At 37.5% G+C, this 14,595-nt stretch overlaps 1 protein-coding gene across 3 annotated transcripts in view, besides 1 other annotated feature; it reads left to right on the forward strand.

Moving 5' to 3' along the window:
- The window catches only part of ALPK1 (alpha kinase 1), a 145,253-nt gene that overhangs the window by 62,678 nt on the left and 67,980 nt on the right, over positions 1 to 14,595 (forward strand). The gene's annotated exons all lie outside the window — the stretch shown is intronic.
- Positions 1,427 to 1,721: a silencer, noted in NCBI's record as "tiled region #420; K562 Repressive non-DNase unmatched - State 24:Quies". NCBI's record gives its function as "represses a minimal TATA promoter and a strong SV40 promoter by Sharpr-MPRA in K562 cells {active_cell/tissue: K562}" and the evidence as "EXISTENCE:reporter gene assay evidence [ECO:0000049][PMID:27701403]".

Below are 14,595 nucleotides of genomic sequence, written 5' to 3' on the forward strand. Positions count from 1 at the left end.
GTATCCTTTGACCAACTTCTCCCCAGGCCCTGACCCCATCCCTGCATCTTCTAGTAACCCCCATACTGCTCTATGTTTCTATGAATTCAACATTTTTAGATTTCACAAATATGTGAGATCATATGTTATTTGTCTTTCTGTATCTGTCTTATTTCATTTAACATAACATCCTCCAGGATCATCCATGTTGTTGCAGATGACAGGATTTCCTTCTATTTTAAGGCTGAGTAATATTCCATTGTGTGTATATATATATGACATTTTCTTTGTCCATTTATCCTTGATGGAAATTTAGGCTGGTTCCATATCGTGGCTATTGTGAATAATGCGGCCATGAATATGGAAGTGCAGAAATCTCTTCTATGCATTGTTGTTGCTGTAGCTTTATATTAAGTACAATGTTTTTTTGTGTGTGTATGGAAATTTAGGTTGGTTCCATATCTTGGCTATTGTGAATAATGCTGCAATGAATATGGGAGTGCAGAAATCTCTTCAATACATTGTTATTGTTGTAGCTTTATATTAAATACAATTAATGATTGCTTAGATTTTGCCAATAATCTACAAGTTTTTTGCTGATTAGTTCTGCTTGACGCTCAAGCCCTTGATAGTGATCTTTCTTCTCTCTAAAGTACATACTTTAGAAATTTGTTTAGTGAGGATCTATTGGTGTTTCTTTTAAAATACTTTTATTTTGCAGGTTTTCTCCCCCAGCATATGAAAGATACCCTTTTGCTGTCTTCTTGTTTACATTTTTGCTTTTAGGTAACCAACTGTATGTAAGTCCTTTGTTGTTTCTTTGAAGGTAATTTGTCTTTTCTCTCTAGCTGCTTTAAAGATCTTCTATGTCTTTGGTGTTCCATGGCTTCATTATGATATTTTTCTACATGGATATTTATTTGTTATTTATCCTGCTTAGAGATCCTGAATATTTTGGTTACTGTTGGCCCTTCCTATTCTCAAATTGCACATCCACAGACTTAACCAACCATGGATTGAAAATATTTGAAAAAAGAGATAAGCAGAAAATGGTGGATAGGAGGCAGGACTAACTTGCAGCTCTCACTCAGATGGACAGAACAGCATGCAGAGACCCACATTTGTGAACTTTTACTCCAAGAACCACCACAGAACATACCAGGAAAGCCGAGACAATCCACAGACCCTTTGAAGGAGGTGGATTGCTGCTGCAGGCTCTGTGGGACAGCCGAGGAACTGTGAGTCAGCTTGCTTTCTCAGTTGGGAGGCTTGTAACCTGTGACAAGTTCTCAGCCCTGCTCACTGGCTGCCTGGAAATAAACCTGGTGCTGTTGGGGGGAGGGGCACAGTGGAAGTGAGACTGGCATTTAAGGCTGTAGGCTGCCAGGAAGCCGGGTGAGGCCTGTGGCTGCTGGCATTCCCCCACTTCTCTGGCAACCTGTGTGTGTAATGCAGCAGAGACAGACTTAATCCCCCTGGGAGCATAACTTCATTGGCCTGGGAACAAGACCCCCATCCCCCACAGCAGCTGCAGCAAGCCAGGGCCAAGGAGAGTCTGAGCTTAGACACGCCTAACCCTGCCCCCATCTGATGACCTTTCACTACCTTCCCTGGTAGGGAAGACAAAGGACATACTCTCTTGAGAGCTGTATGGCTCCACCCACTGCCTGACTCTAGGGCAAGCTTGTATCCTCCCTATACAACCACAGTTGATGCACTCTTGAAAGTGCCACCTCCTGGCTGGAGGCCAACGAACACAAAACCGGTGCACTAAACAAAAACACAAGCAAGGACCCTCACTGAGTCCACTTCATTCCCCTGCTACCTCCACTGGAGTAGGTGCTGGTATCCATGGCTGAGAAGCCTGAAGATGGATCACATCACAGGACTCCGTGCAGACACTCCCCAGTACCAACCTGGAGCCCAGTAGCTCTGCTGGGTGGCTAAATCAAGAAGAGCAATAACAATCACTGCAGTCTGGCTCTCAGGAAGCCCCATTCCTAGGGGAAGGGGGAGAGCCTCACATCAAGGGAGCACCTATGGGACAAAAGAACCTGAACAGCAGATCTGAGTCCTAGATCCTCCCTCTGACATAGTCTAACCAAATGAGAAGGAACCAGACAAACAATTCTGGTAATATGACAAAACAAGGTTTTTTATCACCCCCAAAAGATCACACTAGCTCACCAGCAATGGATCCAAACCAAGACAAAATCTCTGAATTGCCAGAAAAAGAATTCAGAAGGTCGATTATTAAGCCAATCAAGGAGCCACCAGAGAAAGGTGAAGTCCAGCTTAAGGAAATCAAAAAAATGATACAAGATATTAATGGAAAAATCTCCAGTGAAATAGCATAAATAAAAAACAACCACAACTTCTGGAAATCAAGGACACACTTAGAGAAATGTAAAATGCACTGCAAAGTCTCAGCAACAGAATTGAACTAGTAGAAGAAACAGCTTCAGAGCTCAAACACAAGGCTTTCAAATTAAACCAATCTGACAGACAAAGAAAAAAGAATTAAAAAAAAATGAACAGAGACTCCAAGAAGTCTGGGATCATGTTAAAGGACTAAACCTACAAATAATTGGTATTCTCAAGGAAGAAGAGAAATCTAAAAGTTTGGAAAACACATTTAAGGGAATAATCAAGAAAAAGTTCCCTGTCCTTGCTAGAGATCTAGATATTCACATACAGGAAGCTCAAAGAACACCTGGGAAATTTATTGCGAAAAGATCATCACCTAGGCACATAGTCATCAGGTTATCTAAAGCCAAGACGAAGGAAAGAATCTTAAGAGCTGTGAGGCAAAAGCATCAGGTAATCTGTTAAGGAAAACTTATCAGATTAACAGCAGATTTCTCAGCAGAAACCCTACATGCTAGAAGGGATTGGAGTCCTATCTTTAGCCTCCTTAAACAAAACAGTTGTCAGCCAAAAATTTTGTATCCAGCAAAATTAAGCTTCATAAATGAAGGAAAGATACAGTCTTTTTCAGACAAACAAATGCTGAGAGAATTTGCCACTACCAAGCCAGCACTGCAAGAACTGCTAAAAGGAGCTCTAAATCTTGAAACAAATCATTGAAATACATCAAAATAGGATTTCCTTAAAGATTAAATCTCACAGGACCTATAAAACCGTAACATAATGGAAAAACACCAAGGTATTCAGGTAACAAATAGCATGATGAATAGAATAGTACCTCACATCTCAATACTAATGTTGGATGTAAACGGCCTAAATGCTCCACTTAAAAGATACAGAATAGCAGAATGGATAATAACTCACCAACCACATAAGGACTCACATAAACTTAAGGTAAAGGGGTGGAAAAGATATTGCATGCAAATGGACACCAAAAGTGAGCAGGAATAGCTATTCATGTATTAGACAAAACAAACTTTAAAGCAACAGCAGTTAAAAAAGAAAAAGGAATAGTGGATAATGATAAAAGGACTAGTCCAACAGGAAAATATCACAATCCTAAATAAATATGCATCTAACACTGGAGCTCCCAAATTTATCAAACAACTACTACTAGACCTAAGAAATGAGATAGACAGCAACACAATAATAGTGAGGGACTTCAGTACTCCACCGACAGCACTAGACAGGTCATCAAGAGAGAAAGTCAACAAGGCAACAATGGATTTAAACTATACAACAAATGGACTTCACAGATATTTACAGAACATTGTTATTGTTCTACTGAACAACCACAGAATATACATTCTATTCATCAGTGCATGGAACTTTCTCCAAGATAGGCCATATGATAGGCCACAAAACAAGTCTCAACAAATTTAAGAAAATCAAAATTATATCCAGTACTCTCTCAGGCTGCAGTGGAATAAAATTGGAAATCAACTCCAAAAGGAACCATCAAGACCATGCAAATACATGGAAATGAAATAACCTGCTCCTGATCGATTGTTGGGTCAACAGTAAAATCAAGATAGAAATTTTAAAATTCTTTGAACTGAATGATAATAGTGACACAACCTATCAAAACCTCTGGGATACGGAAAAGGCGGTGCTAAGAGGAAAGTTCATAGCATTAAATGTCTACACTAAAAAGCCTGAAAGAGCACAAATAGGCAATCTAAGGTCACGCCTCAAGGAACTAGAGAAACTAGAACAAAGCAAACACAAACCCAGCATTAGAAAAGAAATAACAAAGATCAGAGCAGAACTGAATTAAATTAAATATATATATTTATATACAAAAAATAAATAAAACAAAAAGCTGGTTCTTTGAGAAAATAAATAAAACCGTTAGACCATTAGTGAGTTAACCAATAAAAGAAGAGAGAAGATCCAAATAAGCTCAATTAGAAAAGAAATGGAAGATACTACAACTGATACCACAGAAATACAAAAGATCATTCAAGGCTACTATGAATACCTTTACATGCATAAACTAGAAAACCTAGAGGAGATGGATAATTTCCTAGAAATATACAACCCTCCTAGATTAAACCAGGAAGAAATAGAAACTCTGAAAAGACCAATAACAAGCAGTGAGATTGAAATGGTAATTACCCCAAAAAATAAAAGTCCAAGACCAGATGGGTTCACAGCTGAATTCTATCAGACATGCAAAGAAGAATTGGTACCAGTCCTATTAACACTATTCCAAAAGACAGAGAAAGAGGGAATCTTCCCTAAATCATGCTATGAACCCACTATTGCCCTAATACCAAAACCAGGAAAAGATATCACAAAAAAAGAAAACTACAGACCAATTTCCCTGATGAACATAGATGCAAAAATCCTCAACAAAATACTAGCTAACAGAACCCAACAGCATACCAAAAAGATAATCCACCATGATCAGGTGGGTTTCATACCAGGGATGCAGGGATGGTTTAACATACACAAGTCAATAAATGTGATACACCACATAAACAGAACTAAAAACAAAAATCACATGATCATCTCAATAGATGCAGTAAAAGCATTTAACAAAATCCAGTATTACTTTATGATTGAAACCCTCAGCAAAATCAGTATAGAAAGGCCATACCTTAAGGTAATAAAAGCTGTCTATGACAAACTGACAGTCAACATCATACTGAATGTGGAAAAGTTGAAAGCATTCCCCGAGAGCTGGAACAAGACAAAGACGCCCACTTTCACCAGTTCTATTCAACATAGTGCTGGAAGTCCTAGCCAGAGCAGTCAGCCAAGAGAAAGAAATAAAGGGCATCCAAGTTGGTAATGAGGAAGTCAAACTGTCACTGTCTGTTGATGACATGATTGTATACCTATTATAGAAAACCCTAAAGACTCATCCAAAAAGCTTCTAGAACTGGTAAATAAATTCAGCAGTTTCAGGGTACAAAATTAATGTACACAAATCAGTAGCCCTACTATATACCAATAGTGACCAAGCTGACATTCAAATTGAGAACTCAAGCCCTTTTACAATAGATGCAAAAGAAATACAATACTTAGGAATATACCTAACCAAGGAGGTGAAAGACATCTGCAAAGAAAACTACAAAACACTGCTGAAAGAAATCACAGACAGCACAAACAAATGGAAACATCCTGTGCTCATGGACTGGTAGAATCAGTATTGTGAAAATGACCATACTGCCAAAAGCAGTCTATAAATTCAATGCAATTCCCATCAAAATACTGCCATCATTCTTCACAGAACTAGAAAAAACAATCCTAAAATTCATATGGAACCAAAAAAGAGACCGCATAGTCAAAGCAAGACTAAGCAAAAAGAACGAATCTGGAGGCATCACATTACCTGATTTCAAACTATACTATAAGGCCATAGTCACCAAAACAGCATGGTACTGGTATAAAAATAGGCACATAGACCAATGGAACAGAATAGAGAACCCAGAAATAAAGCCAAATACTTACAGTTAACTGATCTTCGACAAAGTAAACAAAAACATATAGTGGGGAAAGGACACCCTATTCAACAAATGGTGCTGGGATAATTGGCAAGCCATATGTAGAAGAATAGAACTGGATCCTCATCTGTCTATATATACAAAAATCAACTCAAGATGGATTAAAGACTTAAATCTAAGACCTAAAACCATAAAAATTATAGAAGATAACATTGGAAAAATCTTACTAGACATTGGCTCAGGCAAAGACTTCTTGACCAAGAACCCAAGAAAATCAAATGCAACAAAAACAAAGATAAATAAATGAGATTAATTAAACTAAAAAGCTTCTGCACAGCAAAAGTAACAATCAGCAGAGTAAACAGACAACCTTGAAAATCTTCTCAATCTGTACATCCAACAAGGGACTAATTTCCAGAATCTACAAATAAACAAATCACCAAGAAAAAAAAACAAACAATTCCATCAAAAAGTGGGCTAAGGACATGAATAGACAGTTTTCAAAAAAAGATATACAAATGGCCAACAAACATATGGAAAAAAAATGCTTAACATCATTAATGATCAGGAAAATGCAAATTTTAGCCATTATGTGATACCACCTTACTCCTGCAAGAATGGACATAATCAAAAAATCAAAAAATAATAGATGTTGGCATGGATGTGGTGAAAAGGGAATAATTTTACACTGCTGGTGGGAATGTAAACTAGTACAACTATGGAAAATTGTGTGTAGATCCCTTAAAGAACTAAAAGTAGAACTACCATTTGATCCAGCAATCCCACTCCTGGGTATCTACCCAGAGGAAAAGAAGTCATTATATGAAAAAGATACTTGCACATGCATGTTTATAGCAGCACAATTCACAAATGCAAAAATATGGAAACAGTCCAAATGCCCATCAATCAATGAGTGGGTAAAGAAATTGTGGTATATATACACCATGGACTACTACTCAGCCATAAAAAGAAATGAAATAATGGCACTTGCAGCAACCTGGATGGAATTAAAGACCATTATTCTAAGAGAAGTAACTCAGGAATGGAAAACCAAACGTCGTATGTTCTCACTCATAAGTGGATGCTAAGCTATGAACACACAAAGGCATAAGAATGCTACAGTGGACTTTGAGGACTCAGGGGAAAGGGTGGAAGGTGGGTGAGGAATAAAAGACTACACATTGGGTACAGTGTACAGTGTTCGGGTGATGGGGTTCACCTAAATCTCAGAAATCACCACTAAAGAACTTATTCATGTAGCCAAACACCACCTGTTCCCCAAAATGCTATTGAAATAAAATAAATAAGTAAATAAAAGGTAGATTATGAAACAGTGTATACACGGTTGATCCCAACTGTAATTTGAAAAACATGTGTATGCCTATAAAAAAGAACAGTAGACTATACATCAGAATATTAACTGGTTATTTCTAGTGTTGGGATCAAGGAGAATTTTAGTTTTCCTTTTTATCTGTATTTTTTTACTAGTTTCTGTCTTACGCTTAATTATGATAAAAGATTTTTTTTATGTAAAAAATGAAAATACAAAAAATATCAAAAAATAATACAAATTAAAAATACAGCATAACAACTATTTACATTAGGTATCATAAGTAATCTAGAGATGATTTAAAATATAGGGGCAAATGTGCAACTACTACACCATTTTATATAAGAGACTTGAACATTCTTTGAAAGTGGTATCTGAGGAGGGTCCCAGAACCATTCTCCCGTGGATACAGAAAATGACTATATTTCTGTCTCCTGTTCAAAAAATTTGCAATCACAATTATCTCTCCAAATGGTTCTACTGCTGCTCCCTCTTCTTCCCATCTAAGACTCTGATTAGACATATGTTAGACCTTTTCTACAAATTATTTCCTGTTTTTTAGCCTGTCTTCATATATTCTATTTCTCTGCCTTTTTTCTGTTGAATTCTAAGTGATATATTCTGATTTATTATCCAGTTCAAAAATTCTATCTTCAGCTAGAGCTAATTATTTTTTTTTCTTTTGGAGACGGAGTCTCACTCTGTTGCCCAGGCTGGAGTGCAGTGGCATGATGTTGGCTCACTCCAACCTCTGGCTCCCAGGTTTAAGTGATTCTCCTGCCTCAGCCTCCTGAGTAGCTGGCCACCTATAATTCATTGCACCACCACGCGCACCACCACGCCTGGCTAATTTTTGTATTTTTAGTAGAGACAGGGTCTTGCCATGTTGGCCAGGCTGCTCTCGAACTCCTGACCTCAAGTGATCCACCCACCTCCACCTCCCAAAGTACTGGGATTACAGGCATGAGCCACTGATCCCCACCTAGAGTGAATATTTTTATCGAATCTATGCATTCATTGAATTTTTAATTTTTAATTTTTATATTTTTATTTCTAGAAATTCTTATTCTTAATCTGCTTATGCTTTCTCTATAGCTTATGCTGTTTATTAATATTTTCAACACATTAATTCAGTTCCTTAAACATATTAAACATATATTTTATAGTCTATATCTGTTAACTCCATTATCTAAAGTCTTTGTGGGTCTGATTTTAGTATCTGTTGTTTCTGCTTTCATTCATGATTTCTTTTTGCCTTATGTATTTTGTGACATTTGATCAGGAGCTCATGCGTCTTAGTATTTTATGGGTGGGAATTCTTTGAAGCTTGGATTGAGGTTAATTTTTTAAAGAAAGGATTATATTTAGTCACACCAGTTGACTGGGAACACTACTAACCTAATCATTTTGAATAATTTATTTTAAATTAATCATTAGCTAGAGGTGTTATGGACTTTGTGGCTTCAAATTCTCAAGGGAAAAATTTTTGTTCCCCTCCATCAAGCAGCATGTTTTGCCACAGACAATTTTCCTGGGAGGTGAGGGGAGAGGATGAGGATTTATTTTTTAGCTCACTCTTATACTGAAGGTGCGACCTTTTAGGATCTCAGTTTTATGCATGGGGTGTGCAGTCTCCACTTAAATTCCTACCTCAGTTAAGGCCTTTGGTTTCATTTTCTCCCCTCTCACCTTACAAGACAGTGAAACCAGTTTTAAGTTCACAGTTTGGCAAATACAATCAAGGCAACGGCTAGCTTCTATATTGCAGGTAACTTTTTAGGTTTCAGCCTTTACTTCTTTTTTTGTTTTCTGAGTACTGCTTCCTCTCTTGACATTTTATTGACATATTTTAGAGATTTAAAATGTTTTTGCAGCATTTTTTATTGTTTTCAGTGGGAGTGTTAGATAGTCTTCCTCAATGCTAGAAATAGAAGTCTACTTTTTTATGTTTTTGGTGACTTAGAAGTTGCCTTCTCCCTTTTAATGCAGTTTTAAAATGCTGACAAATGCCTGTTACCCAATAATATCTTTCTGAGCCCCACACTTGCCTTACTCTCCAGTCAGCTGCCTCTTTCTCCATTTGTTTCCCCACTTCTACTGCCAATCAGTGCAAGAGGCAATATGGTGATAGTTTATGTCTATGGGTGCTCAGAGAAGAGTGAAATGGTGGGAACAGCTGGATTGTCATTGCTTGGTGCCTGATTAGAGAAATGTATTCTTGTTGTACATTAGAGACCAGAATACCTTTTCCTATAGAAACAATATGAGAAATGAGTGTAGATTAAAAAGACGTTTTAGATTAGCTGGGCATGGTGGTGCATGCCTGTAATCCCAGCTACTCAGAGGCTGAGGCACAAGAATCGCTTGAACCCAGGAGGCAGAGGGTTGCAGTGAGCCGAGATTGCACCACTCCACTCCAGCCTGGGTGACAGAGTGATACTCGGTCTCAAAAAGAAAAAGAAAAGAAAATTTGTTTTATAATAATTATTCATGTACATATGAATTAAATAGGCTCTGTGGGCTTGCTTATGAATCTAACCAAGGGTTAATTGAATTCCAACATAGATAATTTAAATTGAGCTTGCAGAGTACAATTGTGTATTATATGCCCTGTATATTTATCTAGTTTACCTTTTAGTATATTTGCATCTTATCCTTCTAATTATATTGTAAATTCCTTGACAGTAAAGATCATCGCTCATATTTCTTTACCTTTCTCCACATCTTCTAGCTTGGGGATTCTGACTAGTTGGCTAGTGGGTTATAATAGCAGTGGCAACCAGTAGACAATGGAATATCTCTGGAGTCATTTTATTTTCCTTGACATATTCCCTAATAGGGGTACTAATTGTCCAGTGAAAAAGACTCAAACACAGATGCTAAAAGAAATGGAGCTTTGAATAATCCACTGGTTTGGTTACTTTTTATAATAGCTGATTTGTCAATTATCCCATAACTAAGCCACTCAACTAAATTCTAAGTTACCAATAGAACTGAAGAATTTGTATATCAAAATCACATACAGCATGTATAAACACATGACCCCTTAGCTGTGAGTGTGCACATGTGCCTTAAAGTGTATCACTCTAACTTTTTTGGGTATTTATTCCAGAATTATCTGTTTTTATGGTCTGATTGCTTTTCCTGGACCCTTTCTATTTGATTTTTAAGGAAAAAAAAAATACAGGGGAGGGATGTTAAAAGAGAAAAAGTAATTCATTGATTACCAAACATACTGGGGAATTCCCATTGTTTAAATGTAAAAACAATATACAGCTCACAGAATGCCACAGTTCAGGGGAGGAAAAACTGATATGTGTTGAGATTGAAAATGATTCCTTTATAAATGAAGTTGACCAAAATTTCCAGCAGGACTGTTGCCTGAAGGAAAGTTCCTGGGCTCCAGCCTCTGTTATGCCTAACAATGAGCCATACAAGTCTGGACAGATGGTTGGATTCCAAAGCGTTTCTCATGTTACAGTATTTTCTTCCTATTGTCTCCTCTGAATTCTACAGAGAAAAGGGAAAATGCTGTGACTTTCAAAAAGTATGAAGAATGTCTTCAGTACATTTCTGGGGAATTGCAAGTACTAAACATGAATTACCTTGGAAATCTCTTCTTCTTTTTAGAAATGTTGTCTTGGCTAAAATATGGTTTCTTATTGTGGATGATATGATTTATCTAACTTACTTTTATATGTAGAAATACAGAATAGATGCATTTATGTCTTTTCCTGGAAGATCTCTTCTACGCTTCTTGTCTCAAAACATGGTAACATTGTCCACTCAGTTTTGAGCTATGGTGAAGGAGAAACTGATACTCATTCTTAATAACATTCATATCTATCCAATACCAATATTGCATTTATTCCCCAGACAGCTCTCAATTCTGTCCAGTTTTCTACATCTCTAATACTATCGCTCTGGTCGAAAGTCCTGATACTTTCCACGTGAATTTTTGCAATTATACCTAACTGATCTTCCTGCAGTTACCTCCCGGCAAACCCCCACCCTAACGTACGCACTACAGCTAAAACAGAGTGATTTTTTCCAAATGCACATCTGACCCTGGTCCTCCTGCTACCAGTAGTTTCCTAGCACTCTTAAGGTGAAGATACAATTTTTTACCAGGCACACATAGGCCTGCACAGCCCGTATTTACCTCTCCAGTCCCACCTCATATCAACTTTCTCCTTTTATCGCTAGTTCAGCCAACCTCTCTGTCTTTCATTCCCTCTCTAGTTCCTTCTACATAACAGCCATTCCCCACCATTTTAACTTCATTAAGCCTTATCACTCTTTCAAAGCTTAATTCAGGCATCACATTCTCAAAGAAGCCTCCCTTGATCTGCCCTAGCTTTACTCAAGTGATTAGGTCAAGTCCTGTTGTTTGCCTTCATACAACTGCATGCCCTATCTCTCTTTCACATCACTTAGACAAAAGGAAGAGATTTATGATCTTGTGCATCAGGAATTGGTGTTGCAAGTGAGGAAACCAAAGCAAATAAGTATATTTAGTAATCGACTTCTAAAATTCAAGCCAATATTTCTAACCACACAAAAATATACATACATAAAAACGATATGTAAGGGTTCTCAAAAGAGCTAGGGAATTTCTTAATAAACAAATATCAAATATTATTTGGCAATAAACAACATGGTCTATTTAGACTGCTGCTGAGTATGTAATTTAAGAGCTAGAAGCATCTTAACAATTGTTCCAACCAATTCCTTCAAAAATACAGATGAGAAAAGTCAATCTCAAAAGTGAATCTCAGAAGTCTTACAAATAGTTAATGATAGAGTATAAAGTGGAATTAATCAACAAATATCTGTTGAACACTCTTGTGTGCATTCGTTTCCTATTTCTGGGTCCTCTTTTCATTACTATATGCTGTTTCTACTTAAGTCGTTTACAGTAACTGAGTAATTAAAATTTACTTCAATTTGTCAATATAAAGAAAACTACTTTCTTCCTTTTTTTTTTTTTTTCTTTTGAGATGGAGTCTTGCTCTGTCGCTCAGGCTGGAGTGCAGTGGCGTGATCTTGGTTCACTGCAGGCTCCACCTCCCAGGTTCATGCCATTCTCCTGCCTCAGCCTCCCAATAGCTGTGACTACAGGCGCCAGCCACCACACCCGGCTAATTTTTTGTATTTTTAGTAAAGACCGGGTTTCTCCGTAGCCAGGATGGTCTCAATCTCCTGACTTCATGGTCCACCTGCATTGGCCTCCCAAAGTGCTGGGATTACAGGCGTGAGCCACCACGCCTGGCCTACTTTCTTTTTTAATTTTATTTTAATTGACAGATTAAATTATATATCTTTATGGTCATACATTATAGAATGGTTAAATCAAACTAATTAACATTATCTCACATACCATTATTTGTGGTGAGAACACTTAAAATCTACTCTCTTAGCAATTTGCAGGTATATAATATATTGTTTTTAACTATCATCACCGTGACATCCCATAGATCTCTTGAACTTTTTCCTCCTGTCTAACTGAAATTTTGTATCCTTTGACCAACACCCTCCCTAATTCCCCCCATCCTGCAGTCTCTGGTAACCACAACCCTACTCTCTGCTTCTATGAGTTCAACAAAAGACCACTTTCTACCTTAAGGGAATGATACAGCACTAAGAAAACATAAGCCTTTAGACAAAAGGATGATGTGCTACTAAAATTATATGATATTGTGGTTTTATTTCTTTGTGCACGAGCTCTTCCTATTTCTTTATTACACCTCTCTTTCTCGATGTAGTTCTACAAAAGAATGCTAGGAAACAGAACTCCCTTCTTGCTTTAATTTTGGACTTGAAGAAAAATGAGTCTCCAACTTATCTGCAGCTCACGCCAAGCAAAGTTTGTTCTTAATCTTCTAAACCACCAAATGTATATTTTAATCTCAATGCTAACCTCCCATTTTAGCCAATGTCTCCCTCTGTCAAGGAATGATGGGAATGAGATATCATTTCTTCATTGCTTCAGGGCCTCTTGTTCACTGTAGCCCACTAATTAGCTCTTTTATCAGCTCACTGCGGTACTCAGAAGGAATGAACATATGCTCCTGTACTCTTTGCAATAGCAGTATGAGGATAAAATTCTGAGCAGCCTTTACTGCTCAGTTCTTTTCCTAGGTAGGCAGGCTAATAGCCAGCTTGTGGCATAAAACGTTGTGACTTATAGACATTTGAGTTAAAAGGGACATTGGAAACCTTTTAGTTCAACACCCAATCCATGCAGAAATACCTTTTTGAAGTATCCCAAACAGAAAAGAGATTAAATTTGTGCAAGTGTACCTCAAAGATATTGTGGATTCAGTTCCAACCGTCTGCACAGAAGCAAGTATCACAATAAAGTGAGTCACACAAAGCCGGGTGCAGTGGTGCGTACCTGTAATCCTACTTGGGAGGTTGAGGTGGGAGGATCACTTGAGCCTAGGAGTTTGAGTCTGGTTTGGACAACATAGTGAGACCCATCTCTTAAAAAAAATTAAAATTAAAAAAAGGTGAGTTACATGAATGTTTTTGTTTCCCAGTGCATAATATTAATGAAAGTTATGTTTACACCATACTATAGTCTAGTAAGTGTACAATCATACTATGTCTAAAAAAGTACCCACCTTAATTAAGAAATGCTTTATTGCTAAAAAATGCTAATGATTATCTGAGCCTTCAGCAAGTCCTAATCTTTCTGCTGGTAGAGGGTCTTGCTTCAATGTTGATGGTTGCTGACTGATCAGAGTGATCGTTGCTGAAGGCTGGAGTGGCTGTGGCAATTTCTTAAATTAAGACAACAATGAAGTTTGCTACATGGATTGAGTCATCCTTTTCCTAAAGATTTTTCTGTGGCATGTGATGCTGTCTGATAGCATTCACCCATGGTAGAACTTCTTTCAAAATTGCAGTCGGTCCTCTTAAATCCCGCTGCTGCTTTACCAACTAAGTTTACATAATATTCTACATGGTTTGTTGCCATTTCAACAATGTTCACAGCATCTTTACCAGGAGTAGATTTCATCTCAAGAAACCACCTTCCTTGCCCATCTATAAGGAGCAACGTCCCATTCATTCAAGTTTTATCATGAGATTGCAGCAATTCAGTCATATCTTAGGCTTTTCTAATTCTAGTTCTCTTGCTATTTCCACCACATCTGCAGCTACTTCCACCACTGAAGTCTTGAACACCCCAAAGTTATCTATGAGGGTTACACTCGGTTTCTCCTCAGTTCCTGTTAATGTGGATATTTTGCCCCTCTCCCATGAATCACGAATGTTCTTAATGGTATCTAGAATGGTGATTCCTTTTCAGAAGGTCCATTAGAAGAATTTGCTTTGCCCAGATCCATCAAAGAAATTACTATAAAAGATATAAGCTGTGATCACTATAAGCTATAGCCTTAT

This window comes from Homo sapiens, chromosome 4 (assembly GCF_000001405.40).
Source record: "Homo sapiens chromosome 4, GRCh38.p14 Primary Assembly".
In the NCBI taxonomy this organism is placed as follows: Eukaryota; Metazoa; Chordata; class Mammalia; order Primates; family Hominidae; genus Homo; species Homo sapiens.